This window comes from Homo sapiens, chromosome 3 (assembly GCF_000001405.40).
Source record: "Homo sapiens chromosome 3, GRCh38.p14 Primary Assembly".
NCBI lineage: Eukaryota > Metazoa > Chordata > Mammalia > Primates > Hominidae > Homo > Homo sapiens.
In genome coordinates this window covers 128,792,485-128,816,285 of record NC_000003.12, presented here as the reverse complement: position 1 = coordinate 128,816,285, position 23,801 = coordinate 128,792,485, and the positions used below count along the sequence as shown (strand labels likewise).

Below are 23,801 nucleotides of genomic sequence, written 5' to 3'. Positions count from 1 at the left end.
GCCAAATCCCCCTCTGAGAAACACCCAAGAATGATCAAAAATAAATAAATAAATAAATAAAATAAAATAAAAAAATAAAAAAAAGAAAAAGGCACTGTGTTGATGCAGAGCTCAGTCTCAGCCATGGCTCCCTATTGTGGTTAAGCTGAATCCCTTAGATGAACATTATACAATTTAGGGTTAAAATATGACACCAAGCTCAGCCATCAGGCTGATGGGACATGAGACTAATTAGTCCCAGGTCAGAGAGTAAGACCTATTGTCATGGTAGGGTTCCATGTTAACTTCAAAGTCAGGTGATGATTAGGGTCAGGAGGTGGGTCAGAGTCAAGGTCATTCAGCAGTGAACGTGTTTAGGGTAAAGTCAAAGCCAGTTCAAAGCCAAAGCCATTAAAATTAGGGTAAGTTATGATAAGGACAATGGTTGAAATCAGTCAATTAAAGATTACATTCATCTCAAGCTAAAGCAGGTTAATATCAGGATGATCATCAGTTTTAGGATGAAGGTCAAGCAGGTCAGAAGTCAAGGTCCATTTTAATGTCACATACAAGGTCAAGACCAGTGGAACACAATCAGAGGAATAGATGCCTGATTTGCAGAGGTGAGCATCACACAAGGGTCCACACCCTGTGGCCCAGTCACTGGGCCCCAAGCTGGAGAGAACTCTGCTCCTCTAGAGGACAAACACCTGATGAGGCCCAAGCAAAATATAGGACCAGAGAAGATTTAAGCCACCCAGCCAGGGTGGAATTGCACTGTGGATAATCTCACATTGTGCAGCATCTGAACTTCTAAACTATGCTATTTTTAACACATAAAGTACATGCCAAGAGGAGCCACGAGGAAAGAAACCAGCTGAGGAGCCTGAGAAGTGGAAATGTAGAAAAGTGTAGCAAAGTAGAATTCAAGATCTAACTCAATGAGGCACTTCTGCAAAACCTAAAGTGACTCACGACCTGAACTACTACTATTTTAATAAAATTGCTTCTAAGTGGCAACTATTCCATTCCAGGTGGGGGCTTACATATGTTGGAATACAGGGCCTCTGCTGCCAAATCTTCCTCTCCTGTGACAAATGCAGAATTACACATCTAAGTGTTAGCAACTAGGTCAACTAAAAATAAAACACATAACACATGACTAGGTTACAGTTACACCTACAGGATATGCATGGCTCAGAGTCCCCAGCAGTTTCTGGCTGCTCTCCTAAAGGGACAATGCGTTCTCCATCCATGGTCCTCAACCTCCAACAATGTGATTAAAATACACCCACCCCCGCCCCCGGAAAAAAAAACAAACAAAAAAAAACTAGGGACAGGCACTACAGGACCAGATATGAGAGGGCCTTTCTGCCTTGAAGCACCACACGTGCCCATTTATGGAGGGCTCTCTTGCTTGATAAGGCATTGACTATGATTAGCTCATGTGGTCTCTACTGAGCCAAGGCTCTTGAAGAAGGAAAAAAAGACTCTGGCAAAGGCAGATGATCATTGTTCTTGTTCAATTTTATTGGCATTGCGTTCATCTCTTTACAGAAGAACTCAGCCCACACCCTAGAATGTAGACCTTTGGAAAAAGGAGAAGTGCTCCGTTAAGCAAGCTACAATGCAGGGGCAGATCCTAGGAAGGGAGCAGAACTGCCAGGGTTCCAACCAAAGAAAGAGGTTAATTAATAATGGGCAATATTGGGGAGATGGGTGGGGAAAAGAGGAAAAAGCTCCGCTAACCTAAGAATACCACAACCCTGAAAGGAGCGCCTTCTAGAACAAAGGTAAAATCACTAGGACAGATCTGTTAGGGTTTTCCTTTCACTCTTGTAGTAGAATGCTGATCTAACGGGAGTTTTGAAGTGTGGAGCAGGGGGGAAAAAAAAGAAAGAAAATGAGAATTTTAATTTTTGAAATAACGGCAATTTATCCATTGCACATACCACTGTATTATGCAAATCAACGTTTTGGAAAATTTAGACACAGAAGGGAACTAGACAGTTTTCCCCCTGGAGAGATGAAAAGCTTTTTGGCTCTTAAGTCTTTGATAAAAGGCGTACATAATTCTTGTGTCTACTGTACAGAATACTGCCGCTAGCTGGATTTCCCAATTCTGAGTAACACTCTGCAATCCAAACAGGGTTCAACCCTCCACCTTACAGGCCTGCATTACAGGACTTAAACACATAATCCAAGAATTTCTTACACTAATTTATACATTTTAATTGGTTGCATATATTAACATGTACTATAAGATTCTTTTCTAAGAAGCATTACATAATAAATGGATACTGTAAAAAGATCTGATTAGTTAAAAGTAACAAGCATTAACAGATAGATACATACAAAACTCAGCCTGATCAGACTGGGTGTGAGCCTGTAATGGGGCATGGGGCACCAGCCTTCCCAAGGGGTAGCCTTCAAGGAGGGAGGGGAAAGGGGGGGTAAAAAGACCACAAGACCAATAAAAAAAATCAGATAATTAGACACAGATTAACTGTAAACAGTTCTCTCTCTCTCCAGTGAACAAAAAGAATAAGCTTCCAATGCCAACTCCATATCAGAATGACTTCCACCGCTGGCTTGTCCTGCTGCCATACTCGCGGGCTCATGTGGGTGGGCAGGCAGACCCCAAGGAGCCATCACGGGCAAGGGCTGGAGTTTGATTACGTCAGATCTGTGTGTGTGTGTGTGCGTGTGTGTGTGTGTGTGAGAGATATGTGGGGTGTAACTGTGTTTGATGGGGTTTTCTTTTGGCAGCTGGATGTGAGAGATCAATGTATGTTTTGTTTGGAAGAGGAGAGGGGAATTGTGTTGAAGGCCTACGTGTGTTCTTGGTTTGTGAAGGACTCTGTGCTCAACTCTCACTGCCCCCTCAGCAACTGCAGCTTTCTGCCGAGGCCTTGGCCCGGTCATTCTTGTCCAGTTTGATAGGTTCAGGAAATTCGTTGTACAGCTCCACCTCCGTTTCCTGGACAAGGAAACAGAGAAAGGTTGGTTACTCAGGGAATAGAAACATTTCAGCCCTCATTGCGGGCACTTTCTGCCCAGGAGGGGCTCACTTCTGCTTGGGCAGAGTGGGCGGGGAGCTGTGAAGCAGAGCCTGCCCACACAGTTAAGGGAGCGCTCTGGCAGAAGGTGCCATGCTCAGGGGAGTAGCAAGAGAAAAACAGATTTTGTGACAACTCCAGGTCAATGTGAAGAGAGGAGTCTTGCCAGAAGAAGCAGCAGTCTGCACTGAGCAATCAGGACAGAAGTTCATGGACATTCTCAATCAGATCATGATCTGGGAGCTCTACCACATCCAGTTCAGATGCTTTCTGTATGTTCCCTATAGTTGCCAATGGTTAACAATGGTCTGGATTTCTAGCTTTTCTCAAACATCTGGCAACCCTCAGCCAGTGTGTGCACGAGGTGAAGTGGCTGGAGCTGAGTGTGAGCTGCCCTCTCAGCCTGTAACATTCCTTCTACCTCCCTATCTTCCATCCACTTTTCGGGACCAATGGCCTCTGGTCTCTTTTTTCTTCCAAAGGTTTAGCAGAGTTTTGTCTCCCAAATGCTGCAGGCCTAGAAAGGAAGCTGTGAATGAATTTTATCACCATCTGTGACAAGTGATCAGAGCACATGGACTATGGTCATTTTAGTGGCACTTTGCTAAAGTAACATGCTTCCAATGAGGAGCAGCATTCTACTTTTGGGTGCAGGAAAACAATGTCACTTAAACACTGAGCACTTGTGTGCCAGTGACTGTTCTAGAATTTGGAGATAAAGCAGGAACTGTTTCTATTCATTAAAAGTTATCTAGGAAAAAAATCATTCCATTCACAATAACTATAAAAGTATAAAACATCTAGGAATACATACTTAAAAAAATAACAGCTTTGGCTGAGCATGGTGGCTCACGCCTGTAATCCCAGCACTTTGGGAGGCTGAAGCAGGTCGACCACCTGAAGTCAGGAGTTCAAGACCAGCCTGGCGAACATGGTGAAACCCCGTCTCTACTAAAAATACAGAAATTAGCCAGGCATGGTGACAAGCACCTATAATCCCAGCTACTCAGGAGGCTGAGGCAGGAGAATTGCTTGAACCCGGGAGGTCAAGGTTGCAGTGAGCCAAGATGGTGCCATTGCACTCCTAATAGCTTTGCTGGGTTTTAACTCACATGCCATGAAGTGTACAATTCAATGGTTTTTAGTATATTCAGAAAGTTGGGCAGCCATCAACATTAAGTTTAAAATACTCTCATCACCCCCCAAAAAACCCTATGCCCATTAGTAGTTCCTTCCCACCCCCATTCTATACCATCCTGGACCCAGCAACCACTCATCTACTTTCTGTCTCAATAGAGTTGCCTATTATTCTGGACACTTAATTTTTAAACATTATTTATTTATTTTAATTTTCCCCATTTCTTCTAGTGGACTGTGATTTCTTTCTTTTTTTTTTTTTGAGGCAGAGTCTTGCTCTGTCGCCCAGGCTGGAGTGCAATGGCATGATCACAGCTCACTGCAGCCTCTAACTCCTGGGCTCACACAATCCTCCAGTCTCAGCCTCCCAAGTAGCTGGAACTATAAGCTCATGCCACCACACCTAGCTAATTTTTAATTTTTAGTAGAGATGAGGCCTTGCTATGTTGCCCAAGATGGTCTCAAACTCCTGGTTTCAAGTGATCCTCCGGCCTCAGCCTCCCAAAGTGCTGTGATTTTAGGCATGAGCCACTGCATCCGGGCTGGACATTTCACTGAAATGGAATCGTACAACATATGGTCTTTTTGCAACTGGCTTCCTTCACTTAGCACCCATGTGGCAGCATGTGTCACTACTTCATTCCTTCTTATAGCTGAATAATATTAGAATGCATGGATAAGCTGCCCTGTTTATTCACTTACCAGTTGATGGACATTTGAGTTGTTCTTACTTTTTGGCTATTACAAATAGTGACATTTTATATTCCCACCAGTACCTAGGAATATGTTTACTGTGAAAGGCAAAGGATCATATTATAAATCAATTATAGCATGGGTGTGCCTGTAGTCCTACCTACTTAGGAGGCTATGGTGGGAAGACTGCTGGAGCCCAGAAGTTGGAGGTTATAGCGAGTGATGATTGCACCACTGCGTATCAGCCTGACTGACAGAGCAAGACCCTGTCTCTAAAAAAAAAAAGAATCAATCAATCTTACTGAAGGAACAGAAACAAGACCTAAAATAGTATCATGGGTGGAATGTTTTGTTTTTTTTTTTGAGATGGAGTTTCGCTCTTGTTGCCCAGGCTGGAGTGCAATGGTGCAATCTCGGCTCACTGCAACCTCCACCTCCCAGGTTCAAGCAATTCTCCTGCCTCAGCATCCTAAGTAGCTGGGATTACAGGTGCCCACCACCACGCCAGCTAATTTTTTGTATTTTTAGTAGAGATGGGGTTTCACAATGTTGGCCAGGCTGGTCTTGAACTCCTGACCTAAGGTGATCCACCCGCCTCAGCCTCCCGAAGTGCTGGGATTACAGGCATGAGCCACCGCACTCGGCTGGGCAGAATGTTTGTGTTCCTCCAAAATTCCTGTGTTGAAGCACTAACCCTTCAGGTGGCTGTATTTGGAGTAAGGAAGGAATGAAGGTTAAATGAGGTTGCAGGATGGGGACCTGATCTGAGAATTCGTGTCCTTATAAGAAGAGGTGACACCAGAGACACCTTGCTCATGTGTCCTCTCTCTGTGCACACAGCAGAAAGGGCATGGGAGGGACACAGTGAGAAGATAGCCCAGAAAAGCACCCTCACCAGAAACATGTGCCAGCACCTTGCTCATGGACTTCCAGCCTCCAGAACTGTGAGAAAACAAAATGTCTGTTGTTGGACCCTCCCAGGCTGTGGGGTTTTGTTAACGCAGCCTGAGCAGACTAATGCAACAGCCACAACAAAACTGCAATCAATGAGGAAAAAACAGTGGGCTTGAAGAAAAAAATTCCAATCAAAATCTCAACAGAGTTTTATTTGGGGTGTGGAAGGTAAGAGAGGAAAATGGTGGAAACAAAATTATTAAAAAAGAAATGTGGCAGGCCGGGTGCGGTGGCTCATGCCTGTAACCCCAGCACTTTGGGAGGCTGAGGCGGGCGGTTCACAATGTGAGTTCCAGACCAGCCTGGCCAACATGGTGAAACCCTATCTTTACTAAAAAATTACCAAAATTAGCTGGGCATGGTGGCGGATGCCTGTAATCCCAGCTACTCAGGAGGCTGAGGCAGGAGAACCGCTTGAACCTGGGAGGCGGAGGTTGCAGTGAGCCGAGATCACGCCATTGCATTCCAGCCTGGGGAACAGAGCAAGACTCCGTCTCAAAAAAAAAAAAAAAAAAAAAAAAAAAAAAGACTGTGGCAAGAGGAAACTTGCCTCATCAGGCAGTCAAATCAACACAGTCCAGATAAGGGAACATGGCATGGACATCACCAGAACAGACTGGAGAGACCAGAAACAGATCCCAGCACATACGAGCATTTAGCACAGGCCACGGTCTATTCAGGGAGGGAAACGGCTTGTGTAACATAGCTGAATGATTTCAAACAACTGGCTGAGCTCTCTTGAGAGGAAAGGCAAGTCTCTCTTTTCTGCCATAAGCCAAAACAAATTCCAGCTGAATTACAGAAAAATCTGAGGTAGACACAGGAAACATAGAAACTTAAAATGACATAACCAAATAAAAAATTACTTTTTCCCTATGTTCAAAGGACTTAAAAAGACCACAGAGTTGGAAAAGTCACTTAAGATGCAAGTAGAGTTAACTTCAATTCACCAACAGCTCATGAGAACTGAGAGAGGCCCAACCATGTGCTGTGTGCCGGCTGTGTGCAGCAGAGAAAATCCAAATGGCTAAGCCCCAGGGAGGGGAACTCAGAGGGACCAGTAGTCACGATGGTGGCAATTTACACACCCAAAGATCGGCAATGTCAGCAGTGACAGGTGACACCTATTGCTTGCTGGCAAGGAGGTAGAAGAAAGCAAGCCCACATTGCTGAAATGTTATTCCCCTTGGGGAAAGCAACCTGGCACCCTGACTTACAATAAGATACACCCTCCGATTTAACAATCTAACTTCTTAAGGGCTAGCTCTAAAAATAAAAGCATAAAGACAACAGGGACAGTAGTGATGGAAGAGAAAAACTCAGACAGTGATGCCAGGCAACAGGGAACAGGTGGGAAACACTTTCCTACACATATTTGGATTTCCATTCCCTTATATGAACATTAAGAAAAACACAAACATTATTATTTGGGGGTAAGCGTGGCCAAGTCTGCATCTTGGTCTGCTCCTTACCACTTGAGGGCTCTCCTGGCATTCTGGGTGGAACAATTTCCTCATTGAGTAGATCTGTCCCTTTCATTCTGGAACACTTAGTGCAGACCCCACCCATGCCAGAATTTCCCTGGTCCTTGGAGCAACCATTACAAACAACTCTTTGTCCTGCTGAAAGCCATTACCTTCATTCAGCCGGCTTCCTGGAGTCAGCAGAATCTGCCTTGCCCTTCACAGCCACCATGTGCTTCAAGTGTTCTATGCATCCTCCCAAACCTGCCACACCTCTGACCACCCCCAGACACTGTCTGATGAGGCCTCGTGACCTGCCTTAATCACCACTGCCCCTAACAGAGCTGTACATCAAAACAGACTTTCAACTCGCATGAGTGGTTGTATCTAATCACAGAAACAGTAAATAAGAAATTCTAGGTATTATATTCCTTGAATAGTTTTCCTACATCTTCTTCCTTCTTTGTGTTGTTTACTTAACTGTTCCTAAGGAAAAAAGTTACCAGTCAGTATGTGAGAGCTGGAAGAGTCTGTCTCATTTAATCTTCATAATCACCCTGCAAAAGCAGGTATTCCCATTTTTCAGGTGAGGGGGTAGAAGTTCAGATATAATTTTTTTTATTTTAATTTTTAATTTTTTTTAGACAGAGTCCCACTCTGTCACCCAGGATGGAGTACAGTGGCACGATCTTGGCTCACTGCAACCTCTGCCGCCTGGGTTCAAGCAATTCTCCTGCCTCAGCCTCCCGAGTAGCTGGGATTACTGGCGACCACCACCAGGTCTGGCTAATTTTTTTGTATTTTTTAGTGGAGAGGGGGTTTCACCATGTTGGCCAGGCTGGTCTCGAACTCCTGACCTCAAGTGATCAGCCCGCCTTGGCCTCCCAAAGTGCTAGGATTACAGGCATGAGCCACAGTGCCCGGCCATAATTTTTTTTTAAGCCCAAACTAGATATAACGATTGGTACGCAGCAGAGCTGGGATTCATATTCAAGTTTATTTCCTCCTTAAATAGAAGCAGCAATCTGTTCGGGGTCTCCCAGTGACCTGATCTCCTAATCACAGCAAAGAAAATAAGAACAAGCCTAGTAAAAGAAGGGCAGCCTCAGACTTCACAGCCTCTGCATCTTTTATATTATTCCCCCCAAAGTGGGATTTCTGGAAGCTTAAGCAGAACATGTCATAACCTTCCCAGATGAACACATAGGGTATTCTGGCTATACAGAAAAGAGTGGGTTAGGGAAGAAGATTAAGGGCAGGAGGCCAGGCAGGGACTGGGTCAGTGGTCAGGCATCACCAGAGTGGGCTGGTCAGCTGTGGGAGACCCACCTGCTTAAGTGCATTCCGTGCAATCGTCTGGAACGCCTGCTCCACGTTGATGGCCTCCTTGGCACTGGTCTCAAAGTAGGGAATGTTGTTTTTGCTGTAGCACCAGGCCTGTGCCCGCTTTGTGGCCACCTGAAAGAAGAAGCAGGGTGCACATAGGCTCATGACAGAAGCAGCCAGCACTGACTCCATCCTCCCCAGGAAGTGTCATGGCCCCTCGTCTACAGGTAGTACAGGTGAGGACACAGACATGGGGAAAGAGGGTGTTGGAGGAGACCTGCAGACCCGTCCAAACTTGTCCTGCTAGCTATGCTCAGGATAGCTAGGATTCAGCTAGAGAGCTCAAAGCCTGTCTCGGTCTACAGCTCATACCTTCTGACCCTCAGTTATACTTAAAAGCCATTTGTGAATGGAGTAAGAAGCCAGTCCGGGAAGAAATGAAGAGTGTTTACTGGGACCTCAGAGATCCCAGGACAGGAAATGCCCAGCAGCTTGGTCTTAAGGTTTATAGTCCCTTCACCATTACTGCTAGTGTGATGTCACCTATGCCACTCACACATTCTCATTCCTTCCCCAACCCCTAGCCCATTTTCAGCCAAGAGATAAGGACTAAGTCACTTAAGAAAAGATCTGTGGTCAGAAATAAACCTAGTTGTAATTAATCAAAGAGTCTATGTTTCCAACAGAAATGGTATTTGAAACTACAGTACAGCAATTTTACTCAAAGCCCAAAGCAATATTCTGCACACATGGAGATCCAGGCATGGCCTGGAGGTACTGGGAGGGCACTACTGAGAATGACAAAACCGAATTCCCTCCTTCAAAGTGCAGAAAGGGAAGTGAAGCTGAGACAGCCAAGACAATGGCCCAAAGTCACAGCCAGCTGGGGGCAGGATGGGGACTTAACCCAGGTCACCTGGGTCCCGGTCCTTAAAGGCAGTTGGCCTGAAGGGCTGGCATATGGTAATGAAGACTCCCACCAGCACCTCCTAGAGCCATGTGAGCTTAGCAGAGAACCCTCCAAATTCACAAGGCCCCTGGGGAGCAGGTGTCTGTGACAATATCTATCATCGTTGGTACTTACTTGTCTGTTTTCGAGGTCAATCTTGTTTCCCAACACAACAAATGGGAAGTTTTCAGGATCTCGGGGACTGGCCTGGATGAGAAACTCATCTCTCCAGCTATCTAGGGTTTTGAATGTGTTGGGGGCAGTCACATCAAATACCAGAACGCAGCAGTCTGCACCTCTGTAGAAGGCCACACCGAGAGACTGGAACCGTTCCTGTCCTGCTGTGTCCCATATCTGTGAGAGACAAAACATTCATTCCTTGGGAGAATGCTAGGCAGAGCACCAGGAGCATGTATGCAAGGGGTGCCAGAAGAAATAGGCTAGATTGTGGGGCCACCCACAAAGACAAATGACACCAGACTTCAGGAAGCAAATTTCAGCACCAGAGTATCTGAAACAATCCTCACAAATATTGTGATTAAGTATGTGTCTGTCTATAAGCGAGTGACATTGAGTCCAATCTCCAGGGTGCTAGAAATTTCTTATATCTTGATCCAAGTAGTGGTCACATGTAGGTAAGTGTGTAAAATTTGAACTATAAATAAAACTTAGGTACTCTGGGAACTTTCTGAGAGCAATGGAAATATAGGGAAGTGAGGTGATGACTCACGAATGATACAGTTCAATAGGGAAGTGAGGTGATGACTCACGAGTGATATAGTTCAATCTATGCATTTTACTGTATGAAAAGTTTGCCTAGCCAGGCACAGTGGATCACCGGAGGTCAGGAGTTTGAGACCAGCCTGACCAACATGGAGAAACCCTGTCTCTACTATAAATACAAAATTAGCCAGGCATGGTGGTGCATGCCTGTAATCCTAGCTACTTGGGAGGCTGAGGCAGGAGAATTGCTTGAACCTGGGAGGCGCAGGTTGCGGTGAGCCAAGATCGTGCCATTGCCCTCCAGCCTGGGTGATAAGAGCGAAACTCTGTCTCAAAAAAAAGAGAAAAGTTTGCCTAAACAACAAAAAAGATTAGCATGTTATATTTCATTTGTATTATACCTCAAAAAACAAAACAAATGAAAAACTCTTGACAAAAAGAGATCAAGAGAAAGACAATGAGAACACACACCAGAGTAAAGATTAAACCAGGTACTACCGCCCAGCTCTAAGCTGGTCACCTCATTCACTGCCATGCTAGATTTAAGAGCAAGGCTGGGTATACTTACTGCCCTAGATCCGTAACAGGCACTCAAACAGAGCCGGACGAACATGATAACAACTCAGATATAAGGATGAAGGGCAAAAAAGACAAATTTATTTCTAATGACTCCACTGCCTCTCGGCAGGCTAGGGCACTAAATGCTCCCTTGCCCAGATACAATAAACAAAGTCCACACATGTAGACTAAACAGGATCGGGACTGCTGGTGGTACTCATCCCTGTGCTCTCCTGGTTCTCCAATGTTCTACATGGAATATGTATGCATCTCTGTCAGTGGAGAAGTGACCCCATTCTCAAACAAACAAACAAACAAACAAACAAAAGAACACTTGGCATCCTCCCACACAGGAAGGAGTTCATGTCTTGTTCTAGTCATATGCGCGGAGGTTTTCTGTAGCTGAAATCCTAGACTGCACTCCTAGACTGCACATGTGATACTCTCCACATTCTCCCAAGTTCCTCCCCTCTACCCCGTCACGCACTAGGGCACTCTGGCAACAGCAGATGGGGTGACATGGGAGAGCAGGTTCACTGGACTTTACTGCTGCCCAACAGATTTAGTGAACCATCGATTCCTATTTTTAAGAAAATATTGCTGACAATTTCCTATCATTATAAACAACTCAGCAATGAACATTAGCATAGAGAGCTTTCTCTGTATGTCAAATGGCTTTTTTCAGATAGACTCCTACAAGCAAAATTACATAAGAACTCTGTTACTGTTAGGTGGAACCAATTCATCATCTGGAACTCAGATACACAGAGAAGGCAAAGTAATACATCAAAAAGAAGTCAACAAGTTGACGGGTTCCTAGAAAGTTACCAAAATTAATTTAACTTTGAATTTACAAAAGTAAAGGCCATATTTATCAAAACATCAACAAGTACAGTCCTATGGCTGACTGTGATTTTTAAATTTTTTAATATTTTAATTGAAATTGTTAACAGCGACCTGGGTTCTTGGAATCTTCCATGATAGAAATCAAGAGAGATCACCAGACACAATAGCAAAGAGAAAGTGAAAGTGTATTAGCTTATGCATAGTGAGCTAGCACTGCAAAAGGAAAGGGGCAGCTGTTCTCTGAAAGCAGTGTGGGAGTTAACTTTAAAGGGCTTTCCTGTGGGGAGGGGTGATGTCAGGATATGTATATAGGAGGGGTTTTTCTAGTGCATGCACAGTGGCTAAACATGCTTCTTCAGAAATTGCGTGTAGCACTAGCAGGTTAAATCTCCATCCTGGGTGTGACTTTTGGCATTAAAATGAGGAAAAGGTAACTATAAGTTGAAGTTGAAGTCTAACTGCACATGCTGGGGGCGGGGGGGGGCCCAGGGAGGTCCCTAGCCCCATGAAGCAGGAACTTGTGATAACAGTTTCTCGGGGTTTTTTGTTGCTGATTGTTTGGAAGTTAGGTAAGCTACAGCTTGAGTAAGGGGCTTTTATTCTTTTTCTCTAGACCACATCAAAACAGGAAACCAGCCAGCCTGCTTGTTTCAAAATGTTTTGTTTTCTCCATTTAAAATTATACCCTTATAACTGTCTACCCAATATTCTGATGTGACAAAAATTAACACTGTTATTTTTATCCGTTTTTTCCAAGAGTTAACCCTTCCCTCATTGCATTTTCTTCCTTCTTCACCACAAGTAAATGCTCCTGAAGAGATGCCTTACATAAACATTATCATCCTGTACAGCTTTTTGCAACTTGTCTTTTTTCATTCCCAAAAGTTAACAGTTATATAATATTCCACTGCTTTAATAGACTCACTTAGTTCCCCAGATCATTTGAGTTATTTGCAGTTTTTCACTCCCCATGCAAGGCTGCAATGATAACTCTCATTACAACTCTCTCATAATGTCCAGAGATAAGTTTCTCTAGGCCATACACTCAGACTCAGAACTCTGGATTGCTGCATATGTCTATGTTCAACACTGGGGAGCAGAGTGGCAGTTTCTACTGAAAAGGTTGTACTCATTACTACACTCCTACCATCAACCAGAGGCTGTTCCACTCCCTATATTCTAGCATCCACCAGGTTACCTACTGCTTGGATACTATTAGGCATTATCATCTTTGTCACCTGCTTGTGTGGTTTGTTCTTGTTAGTCTGGGAATCTTGTTATTTACATGTTTAATGTAATCTATTAATCAATCTTCAACATTTTATGATTTGTACTTTCTGTATTTTCAAATGCCAAAGGTGAAAAGTATTCACTATTTTCATTTTTTAAGTTTTCACTTTGTATTTTTTCCACCTTCAGGTCTTGAATCCTCTGGTTCCCCCAAGCTAGAATGTAAAGCCCTGTCCTGGTCCCACTTATTTACCCTACTGGCTGAGCGCAGTGGCTCATGCCTGTAATCCCAGGACTTTGGGAGGCCAAGGTAGGTGGATCACCTGAGGTCGGCAGTTCGAGACCAGCCTGGCCAACATGGTGAAACCCCGTTTCTACTAAAAATAAATACAAAAAATTAGCCAAGCGTGGTGGCAGGCGCCTGTAATCCCAGCTACTTGGGAGGCCGAGGCAGGAGAATTGCCTGAATCGGGGAGGCAGAGGTTGCAGTGAGCTGAGATCAGGCCACTGCACTCCAGCCTGGGCGACAGTGAGACTCCTGTCTCAAAAAAAATAAAAAATAGGCTGGGTGTGGTAGCTCACGCCTGTAATCCCAGCGCCGTGGGAGGCTGAGGCGGCCAGATCATGAGGTCAAGAGATCAAGACCATCCTGGCTAACATGGTGAAACCCCATCTCTACTAAGAATACAAAAAATTAGCTGGGCGTGGTGGCACACACCTGTAGTCCCAGCTACTCGGGAGGCTGAGGCAGAATTGCTTGAACCCAGGAGGCGGAGGTTGCAGTGAGCCAAGATCACGCCACTGCACTCCAGCCTGGGCGACAGAGTGAGACTCCATCTCAAAAATAAATAAATAAATACATACATACATAAATAAAATAAAATAAAATATGTACCCTACAACACCCTTCTCTCCATGTATTACCAGAGAGGTGCACCCTGTGCCCTCTGTTCCTGTGCTCTGTGTATTACTATACTAATATCACTGTTTAAACTACCACAAACTCACAATAAACTGTTCCCTGGAAATTTGTCATGCCTATTTGATTCCATCTAAGATACTAATCAATTTCAGATTCTTTCTGAACAGTATAGAGAACTTTAAAAAACAAGAAACACAGCAGTCACTAATCTTTCCCTACACATTAGATTACACAGTTCTGATCTTTGTTTCCTCATATTACTTTGGAAGTTACATACTCACGATTCCAAAAATAGATACAAGTATACTATTGAAGTGTTCTTCCTTCAGACCTATCTTCATGAAATCACTTTCTGCCTGGAGTTATCCTTTAGAACTTCTGCCACTAGCCCTTAAAGATGTACTCTTTCATTCAGGAGGGTTATTTCAGCAGAGACAGAACACTGTGCTGCCCATCTCTTTCTCAACATACCCCACTGCCTGCTGGGCTCTGCTGCTACTGCCAAGAGTCACCTGGCAGCCTCAGTGCTGTGCTTGTCAGGTTTTCCTCAGTCTATTTTTAAGTCTTTTTTTTTTAATTTCATTATGACTTACACAGAATTCTTTTTATTTATCCTTCCTGGAATTTGGGCTTCTTGAGTCAGTGGATTGGTGCCACACCAATTCTCGAAAATTCTCAGCAAATATCATCTTTGATCTATTATTCTCTCTTTACACCTTCTGAGACTGATTAAAAGTAGGTCCAACCTTCTCACTTTCACTTATTTCTTTCATATTTCCTGCCATTTTTCTTTCATTCTTCCAGCCCTTTTCTGGTGTGGCCAATCTGCTATGATTTAGCAGCATTCTCTGAATTTCCAAATTTCATTGATTGTGCTTCATTTTCTCCCCCTATCAATGTTAACTGTTTCGTTTCTTCCCTGCAGATAAACGATTATCTTATCTTTAACCAAAGCCCCTTTAGTGAGGTATGGCTGACATACAAAGGCTGCACACAAACCATCACTACAATGTAGGCCACAAACCTACTCATCAAAAGGTTCCCCCCATCCTCTTATTATTACTTTTTGTGATAAGAACACTTAAAATAAGATCCTCTTAGTAAATTCTTTCAAAAAATTTTTTTGTAGAGATGAAATGTGCTATTTTGCCCAGGCTAGTCTCAAACTCCTCTCTTGGCCTCCCAAAGCACTAGGATTACAGGCATGAGCCACCGCATCCAGCATGCAAATTTTTAAGTGTACAATACAGTATTGTTAACTACAGGCACTATGCTGTACACATCTCTAGGATTTATTCATCTCATATAACTGAAACTCTGTATCCTCCTTATTTCTTTAAATACAAAAAACACTCTGGAATTACCAGGGAAGTTTCCACTGGTTCTTTCTTGTGGTGCCTTGTTTTATTTTGATTATGTTTTACTGCAAGCTGCTAAAAGCCCTCGAAAAACACATGAGGATTCCTCAAGATCAGGATAATGACGCCTTTGTGCAGAGACAATGATTTTCATTTACTTCTAGTATCTGAAGCTGGCTGCAAGAGCACAAGGGTCATCCTTTTGCTTCAATCTCTTGGGAACTTGTTATCTTTTTCCACTCTTTCCTCATCTACATGAAATCACTTTCTGCCTGGAGTTATCCTTTAGAACTTCTGCCACTAGCCCTTAAAGATGTACTCTTTCATTCAGGAGGGTTATTTCAGCAGAGACAGAACACTGTGCTGCCCGTCTCTTTCCCAACATACCCCACTGCCTGCTGGGCTCTGCTGCTACTGCCAAGAGTCACCTGACAGCCTCAGTGCTGTGCTTGTCAGGTTTTCCTCAGTCTATTTTTAAGCCTTTTTCTTTTTTAGTTTCATTATGACTTACACAGAATTCTTTTTATTTATCCTTCCTGGAATTTGGGCTTCTTGAGAAGCCCACAGTGCGCTGTGGATCTCCTGATGGGGTTTACTTCAAGAGTGCAGCGCCCCAAGGTCCCAGCTTAGTAGTACAGACGGGACTGTTATGACAACCCCCGACCCAGCAGGGGCCGAACTCTGATTTCTGAATTCGCTGGCCCACATGGCTACCAAAACCACAGCTCAGCTGGAGAAGTTCTATTTTCCCTCAGCAAAAGGCAGTCTGAGTCTTGCTGTGACACATGGAGAATCTTCAGATGGGCCTTTACCCCAGCTCCCTGAAGTAATTCTACTCCCTTCTGCCTTCTGTTGAGAATTTGTCAGTCTGTTGTTCCTTTATAAGTCATGTCTTTTTTTTCTATAGTTGCTCTTAAGATTTTGCTTTTCGGTCTTCTACAATTTTAAGTCTTCTTTTAGAAAATTTGCTCAGCTCTTACGGCTTACTGCTTTTTTCAGCTCCATTTAATCTACAGTTTAACTGTTCCTTTAGCTTATTTCAATACTATGTTTTCACTTCTTGAAGTTCTAAGTTTTCCATATCCTCATTTTTTTATAGTATCCCTTTCCATTATGGTTTCTATTTCTTTTTAGAACATCTCTAGTCATTGTGAACATCTCTTGTGGTACATTATTTCCTCATGTGGTTATGAACTCATCTTCTCTCCTGCGGTACTAAATGTCCCTACAGAGTGGTCTTACCCTTGTTTTTGCCAGGAATGACAGGGATTTATGTTAAATCCTTTGAGACAAAGATTTCTGTACATGTGGAGAGTGGGACTGAGAATCTCCAACAACTGCAGACACAAGCTTTGCCAATTTCTTGGGCCAAGGTTTTCCAGTTCTACTCTCAAGCTTGACTTGCTTAAACTGTAGTTACATTTTGAAGATCTCTAGGTGTATGTGTGTAGGTGAGGTGAGGATGAGAGATTCATACCAGCTCTGTCCTAGAAGTGTGAGTCAATTAAGAGTCCTGATCCTCTAGGAGCATGCCATGGCTCGAGGTCAACACGTGCACAAATTTCTACCTTTAACCTACATCATTCACACATTTCAGCAAGCCCCCACTATTTGCCAGGTACTTTCTAGGACTATAATGGGATTAGAATTGTATTTGCCTCTAGAAGCACATAGGAAAGAACAACTGCCATGGAGATAGAAGTTTCCAAAGATCTGAGCTAAAAGTTGGAGACTTCAGGTGGGTATACAGGCCCTGCTGGAAGCAGAGACATATCCACCAACACAAGTCTGTAAGAGCAGCACATGATTCGGAATGACTGGAACGAGACAAAAAAAAAAAAAGTGAGTAACAGCTATTTCCACCATCTTTTCTTGCCTCCGTAATGCATGAACGTCTTGGCTGATGCTCTCAAGGGCAAACACCAGGTTCTTATTAGGCTGTGCTCCCAAGTCATGGTCTGGTTCTAAGTGTGAAGATGAAACATGATCACATTGAAAATTTGAAATCACTGGTCATCACAGAGCTGGGAAAATTACTGTAAACCTCACAGGCAGGTTAAAACTGCCCCTGGAATGATTGGCCCCAGATGTGATGTGCAACTCAAAGATCTAGAAAAATGACAGGATAATCTACTCCTATCCCAATAGTTTGGTTTCAAAGTGAGGTTGTACTGACAACCTCAGCTGGCATCATGGACCATGAAGAAAGAGATGAAAATACAGGAGGGAAAATCCTGGGATTCTTTTTTTTTTTTTTTTTTTTTTTTAAATTTAGAGACAGGGTCTCACTCCATCACCCAGGCTGGAGTATAATGGAGCAGTCACAGCTCACTGCAGGCTCAAACTCCTGGGCTCAAGGTATCCATCCTTCAGGGGTTTCTTTTCTAGGGATGTTAATACATGTATACAAACAAAATGACTCAATGGGGGAAAAAAAGGGAATAATAGTTTATAGCCAGAATGTGAAGGCTTTTCAACAAGTCATATGAAAGAATCTGTATCTTATCCTAACTGTTGAAAGGGAACCCTTGAAAGATTAATAAGCTGATACATAAAAAAAAGATTGGCTCAATAGACACACAACTCTTGAAGTTACGTATGAAATAGGAAGTCAGAAAAATAAAGTTTATGTCTCACTACTGAGGTGAGACAAAGATGTTTACCTAAAGCACTGGGCAAGGATGTCAAGAGAGGCACAAGACAGAGACCTGCAGGTTGCCAAATTTAGCAAACAACAAAACCAAAAACAACAAAAAACAAGAAAGGATAAATCTGAGTTTTTTTTTAAGAAGAATTTTTTAGTGTGTCTTAGCAAGTCGTATCTGAGATACACTAGAAGTATACTAAAAAAGTATTCACTATTGATCTGAAATTCAAATTTAACTGAGTATCAGCCAATTATCTACAAATAAGATAATAAGATTTGAAGAACAGGGAAGGAAAATGTCTATGCATGAGGAAAGATTAAGACTAAATGAACTATCAAGGCCTGGTCAGCACAGCCAAGACATGTGCTTACCTGCATTGTGACTAGCCTGTCATCCACCATCACCTCCTTGGTCAGAAAGTCAGCTCCTATTGTGGCTTTGTACTGATTGCTGAATTTCTTATTCACATACTGGTTCATGAGTGATGTCTTCCCGACTCTGAAATTGGAGAAAAACCATAAGTATAAGTCAAATAGGAGGGTCCTGAAACTGACACGAATTACTTGAAGCATTTAAAAGAATCTGCCTGACCTGAAGGACAAGAAACTGCCCTCACAGCAAAGGGCAATGCCAGTAGCCTTCCGAGCATTACACTTTTGAAGTTTTGTGTTTTCTCTCTGGGTAAAAATATAGGGTACAGATGTGGGGCAGATGTGGAAAAGCTGCTTACATGTTTTGGCACAGCCAGGTCAAATGGTAGAGCCTAGTATTATTTTTTCCATTCTAGAAGGATGCCAGCAAATATACTGCTTTCTAAAAGAAGCTTCACTATTAAGACTGTTCTGCTATTCCAACAGTATCCCTGCTATCTTAGATGTTTCTCCATTTAGTGGCTGCTATTTAGCTTGATGAAGTAACACCAGGAGGAAGACCTTGGCTTTCAGCAGACACACACCACTCAGACAATTTGCTGCTTTAAAGTTTAAAATCTGAAGCAGAAAAAGCACCAATATATCACCAAAACAAATCCACCTCAAAGAATGCTCCTCCAAATATGTTTTCTAGTAAGAAAACTCAGCAAGAGACAATGTGTGATTTTTGTGTGATAAGGTTAAGGTAACCTAAAGCTAATACAAAAACCTTCCCCCCCATAGCCAGTGATATCACCTTTCTTGGCCACAAAGGAACATGTTCATATTTGTGTTAAAGAACCTGGAGGTACCTAGACAGCCGAAGGCAGTGTTTTCCAACCCAGACCATCTAAGCCAGAATCTACAAGGTGAGAGGTGGCAAAACCTGGAATCGAACAAGGGCTTGGTGAGACTTTTTGCACAAGTTTGGGGAAGGCAGGCCTAAAAGCACTATCTTTCCATCCCGACGGGGATGGAGTTGCGGGGTAGGAGAGAGAGCACAAATCTAGGCCCTAGCCCACTGGTCTGGGGCTGGGCAAATGCTAGCGAACAAAAGGTTCTTCAAAGGCTGGGCATGGTGGCTCAAGCCTGTAATCTCAGCACTTTGGGAGGTCGAGACGAGTGGACTGCTTGAGCCCAGGAGTTTGAGACCAGCCTGGGCAACATGGTAGAACCCTGTCTCTATAAAAAATACAAAAATTTAACCAGGAGTGGTAGCACACACTGGTGGTCCCAGCTACTCTGGAGGCTGAGGTGGGAGGATGGCTTAAGACCAGGAGGTTGAGGCTGCAGTGAGCTGTGATTGCACCATTCACTTTAGTCTGGGCAACAGAGCGAGACCCTGTCTCTCACACACATACAAAAAAAGGTTCTGCAGGTGATTCAAATAAGCCAGTCAAGACAGAAAAACCTCTGGCTTTTCAAAGGAAGGGCAGGGGACTTTGGAATAAAGAAGCATACCTGCATTTGCTATTGTTGTTATTTTTAAAAATACATAAGCTTCCAATGAGTCAAAGCTTTCATGGGTCCCTTCAGATGCCAAGTCTGAAAAGCCTACCACAGAATCTTTTTATTTTAAGAGTTGGGGTCTTGCTCTGTCACTCGGGCTGCAGTGCAACGGCATGATCATAGCTTGCTACAGCCTCAAACTCCTGGGCTCAAGCCATCCTCTCGCCTCGGCCTCCCCAGCAGCTGGAACTACAGGTACGGCACCTGGCTAAATTTTTTTTGTAGAGACAGGTCTCCAACTCCTGGGCTCAAGCAATCCTCCCCTCAGCCTCCAAAGCACTGGGATTATGGGCATAAGCCACCTCACCCAACCTACCACAGAATCTTAAGAGCCATTAGAGTTAGCTACATGGTTAGTGGCACATCTAGAATCAGAACCCAGTTCTGCCGTCCCAGGCTCTTTTGCAGATAGATCTGAAGCAGGCACAGCAGCAGGAGGATACTGTATGGTGCACTAAGAACGCACATCTGGGTCGGGCGCGGTGGCTCACGCCTGTAATCCCAGCACTTTGGGAGGCCGAGGCAGGCGGATCACGAGGTCAGGAGATCAAGACCATCCTGGCTAACACGGTGAAACCCCATCTCTACCAAAAATACAAAAAACTAGCCGGGCGTGGTGGCGGGCGCCTGTAGTCCCAGCTCCTCGGGAGGCTGAGGCAGGAGAATGGCGTGAATCCGGGAGGCGGAGCTTGCAGTGAGCCGAGATCGCGCCACTGCACTCCAGCCTGGGCGACAGAGCGAGACTCTGTCTCCAAAAAAAAAAAAAAAAAGCACATCTGCTACGCCAGATGCCAATGGCAATACATCTACGTAAGGAAGACTCCCCAGCCTGGCCAGCTTGGAGAAAAGGGATTCCATGAAAATGCCTATCCTTAGTTGAGTTCAAATAGCCATCCGTTCCCCATAAAAAATCATGCTAAAAACTAGAGAACAAAAGGTTATATAACAAGGGATCATCTAAATTTCTGCCGTGGAGGGAAACATGTAAGGCCCTAAGCCTCACTATGAAAGCAAGAAGTGGCAGCACGGACAGTGTGGGCTCCACAGCAGAGAGGCTTAGCTCTAAGCCAATCTGTTAGCTCAAATTCATGAGTAACTTACCCAGAATCTCCCAGGATGATAACCTTCAGCAACACTTTCTTCCTAGAGGTCATCCTTCAAACTAAAGGGGGAAAAGGAGAAATCACTGTGAGTGTGATGGAAACACCAAAACAAAACACCTCCCTTGCACAAATGTCTGAGCAGCCCCAACAGTGCAGGGCCCTGAACCTTCCTGCTAGGTATCTTCCTTCCACCAGGGGGCACTGATAAAAAACAGTATCACTCACCAAAACTCTGGACCCAAGAGCGAGGCAGAACAGCACAGCAGGGCCATCCTGCCCCTGCAAGCTGTTGGAGAGAATGTATTCTCTCACTTGGGTGGTGGATCAATTGAATGGATTGGCAATTTGAACTAATGCTCCAACTTACTCAACAGCTTGGTCCTTGCTTCATTCAGGTCGCTGCTTCAGTATCACTTTCTCAAAGAAGTGACCGCTTTATTTAAAGCAGCATAACCCCTCATTTGCTCTCTATCCCGTTACTCTGCTTGCTTTTCCTTCAGAGCACTTACCACTAATTGACATTTTTATGTACTATATTAATCTAGTCTATCCCTTTTCTAACAATCTCCATGAAGACAGTTTTACTCCCCACTGTATACTCAATGCCAAGTAGAAATTTATTAAATGTTGGGTACCGTCTGAATACTTGACTCTGCAGCTCTAGTGACTACTCTTTTCCAGAAAATCTTTCAGGCAGCCTTGTCTACTCATAACCAGAAGATGTGAAAAATGCCTGATCTCTGCTCAACTGTCTTCCAGGACTTGCCACAGCATGGTCTATCTACTCATCAAGACAGGGCTCCTGCTGTAATTGCCTCTCATTTGCCAGGGTATGACTCAGTGACTTCCAGAAAATGAATGGGACTCAGAAGAACTACTTGTTAGTTTCCTCTTTAACCACCTACCTTTTGAAGGCAAGGCTGACAGCAGTGCCTATAGTGGGAGTGACTTAAGCAGCAGATATGAACCCAGGCCACAGGGATTTCTATTCTGGTTTTGCCGCTTATTAATTTAGCTATATGACCTTGAGCCAGTCATTTAATTTCTCTGTTGGAATAGGGAATATAGAGATGACAGCTCTTATGTCCTAAGAATGCTGTGAAGACTGAATAAATAAAATGCTCAGGACAGTAACTAGAATACAGCAGATGACTAGTAAATACTGGCCGCTACCATCTTAAGGTATGCCAAATACAGAGATGAGTAACAGAACACAGAGTCCAGAAGACAGTGAGAGAAGCAGCAGGTTACAGCTCCTAGGCAAGGTAATCCAGCTATCCCTCTCTTTCCAGATGCTTGGCTGTCAATTGTTCTCTTTCTCAAGAGGTGGTATTACACCCAAGACCACTAACTAAAAGGAAATATCAGACCTGACTACTGTCCTAAAGGGCAGGATTTGCTAAGAAGGCCTACGCTCTTGAAAGTAACCATCCTCGATGGCTTCAGAGTCTGTTTCTGGCTACAAGAACAGTATGGGAATAGGAGCCAGACTAGAGGATGGTTTGCTAGGCACACACCCCAGGTCCCATGACCTATGCAGAGGGTCAAGCTGTTTCTCTGCCAAAAGCCTCATGCCCATGGCTGGACTGTGAAGACACGGTATCTCAGCCCACCAGCATTCATCTAGAAAGTTCTTACTAGTGCTAGTTAGGGGCAGTATAAGATGACTTGGAGTTCTGTCTTCCATCATAATCAGCACTGAGAGGTATACCCCAAACTATCCATTATATGTGGAGCCCCACTATTCCCCTACCTTTCTCCCCAGGGACCGCTTTGACTGGTCAAAGTTTAAATGTCACACTCTAAGGTCTGGTATCATATTTCAAGATAGAGATCAGATGATGATAATGGGGGCAAGTTTCAAATAGAAAGAAGGGGAGGCCAAGGTAGGCAAATCATGAGGTCAGGAGTTCGAGACCAGCCTGGCCAACATGGTGAAACCCCGTCTCTACTAAAAATAGAAAAGGCTGGGCACGGTGGCTCATGCTTGTAATAACGGCACTTTGGGAGGCCCGAGGTGGGTGGATCACAAGGTCAGGAGTTCAAGACCAGCCTGGCTAACATGATGAAACCCTGTCTCTACTAAAAATACAAAAATTGCTGGGCACAGTGGCTCATACCTGTAATCCTAGCACTTTGGGAGGCCAAGGCGGGCGGATCATGAGATCAGGAGATCGAGACCAGCCTGGCTAACACGGTGAAACCCCGTCTCTACTAAATATGAAAAATTAGCTGGGCGTGGTGGCATGTGCCTGTAGTCCCAGCTACTCAGGAGGCTGAGGCTGGAGAATGGCTTGAACCCGGGAGGTGGAGGTTGCAGTGAGCCGAGATTGCGCCACTGCACTCCAGCCTAGGCGACAGAGCGAGACTCCGTCTCAAAAAAACAAAAAACAAAACAAAATTAGCTGGGCATGGTGGCACGCGCCTGTAATCCCAGCTACTCAGGAGGCTGAGGCAGGAGAATCGTTTGAACCCGGGAGGCGGAGGTTGCAGTGAGCCGAGATCACGCCACTGCACTCCAGCCTGGGTGACAGTGCGAGGCACTGTCTCAAATGAATAAATAAATAAATAAATAAATAAATAAATAAATAAATAAATAAAAATTAGCTCGGTGGGTGCCTGTAATTCCAGCTATTCGGGAGACTGAGGCAGGAGAATCGCTTGAACCCAGGAGGCAGAGGTTGCAGTGAGTGGTGGGGAAGGGAAAAAAAGGCTGGGTGTGGTGGCTCACACCTGTAATGCCAGCACTTTGGGAGGCCGAGGCAGGTGGATCACTTGAGGTCAGCAGTTCAAGACCACCCTGGCCAACATAGTGAAACTCCATCTCTACTAAATACACAAAAAAATAGCTGGGTGTGGTGGTGCGCACCTGTAGTCCCAGCTACTCGGGAGGCGGAGGCAGGAGAATCGATTAAATCCAGGAGGCAGAGGTTG

The 23,801-nt window shown here is 44.2% G+C and overlaps 1 protein-coding gene and 1 pseudogene across 1 annotated transcript in view, besides 4 other annotated features; one reads left to right on the top strand and one right to left on the bottom strand.

The window, feature by feature from the left end:
• Window positions 1,488-23,801, bottom strand: part of RAB7A (RAB7A, member RAS oncogene family) — an 88,616-nt gene continuing 66,302 nt past the window's right edge. The window contains exons 2-6 of the mRNA NM_004637.6: window positions 20,866-20,926; window positions 18,217-18,343; window positions 9,696-9,914; window positions 8,615-8,743; window positions 1,488-2,959 (exon numbers count right to left, since the gene is read on the bottom strand). Coding sequence (NP_004628.4) covers window positions 2,864-2,959; window positions 8,615-8,743; window positions 9,696-9,914; window positions 18,217-18,343; window positions 20,866-20,918 — 624 coding nt within the window. The 5' untranslated portion in view covers window positions 20,919-20,926 and the 3' untranslated portion in view covers window positions 1,488-2,863. The remainder of the gene's footprint in view (window positions 2,960-8,614; window positions 8,744-9,695; window positions 9,915-18,216; window positions 18,344-20,865; window positions 20,927-23,801) is intronic.
• Window positions 2,846-3,140: an enhancer, noted in NCBI's record as "tiled region #6458; K562 Activating non-DNase unmatched - State 17:Gen3'". NCBI's record gives its function as "activates a minimal TATA promoter and a strong SV40 promoter by Sharpr-MPRA in K562 cells {active_cell/tissue: K562}" and the evidence as "EXISTENCE:reporter gene assay evidence [ECO:0000049][PMID:27701403]".
• Window positions 9,465-9,514: a silencer, noted in NCBI's record as "silent region_14712". NCBI's record gives its function as "represses an Ori minimal core promoter by ATAC-STARR-seq in GM12878 lymphoblastoid cells {active_cell/tissue: GM12878}" and the evidence as "EXISTENCE:reporter gene assay evidence [ECO:0000049][PMID:35858748]".
• Window positions 11,763-11,882: an enhancer, noted in NCBI's record as "active region_20496". NCBI's record gives its function as "activates an Ori minimal core promoter by ATAC-STARR-seq in GM12878 lymphoblastoid cells {active_cell/tissue: GM12878}" and the evidence as "EXISTENCE:reporter gene assay evidence [ECO:0000049][PMID:35858748]".
• On the top strand, window positions 17,051-17,445 carry RPS15AP16 (ribosomal protein S15a pseudogene 16; annotated as a pseudogene).
• Window positions 22,291-22,440: an enhancer, noted in NCBI's record as "active region_20495". NCBI's record gives its function as "activates an Ori minimal core promoter by ATAC-STARR-seq in GM12878 lymphoblastoid cells {active_cell/tissue: GM12878}" and the evidence as "EXISTENCE:reporter gene assay evidence [ECO:0000049][PMID:35858748]".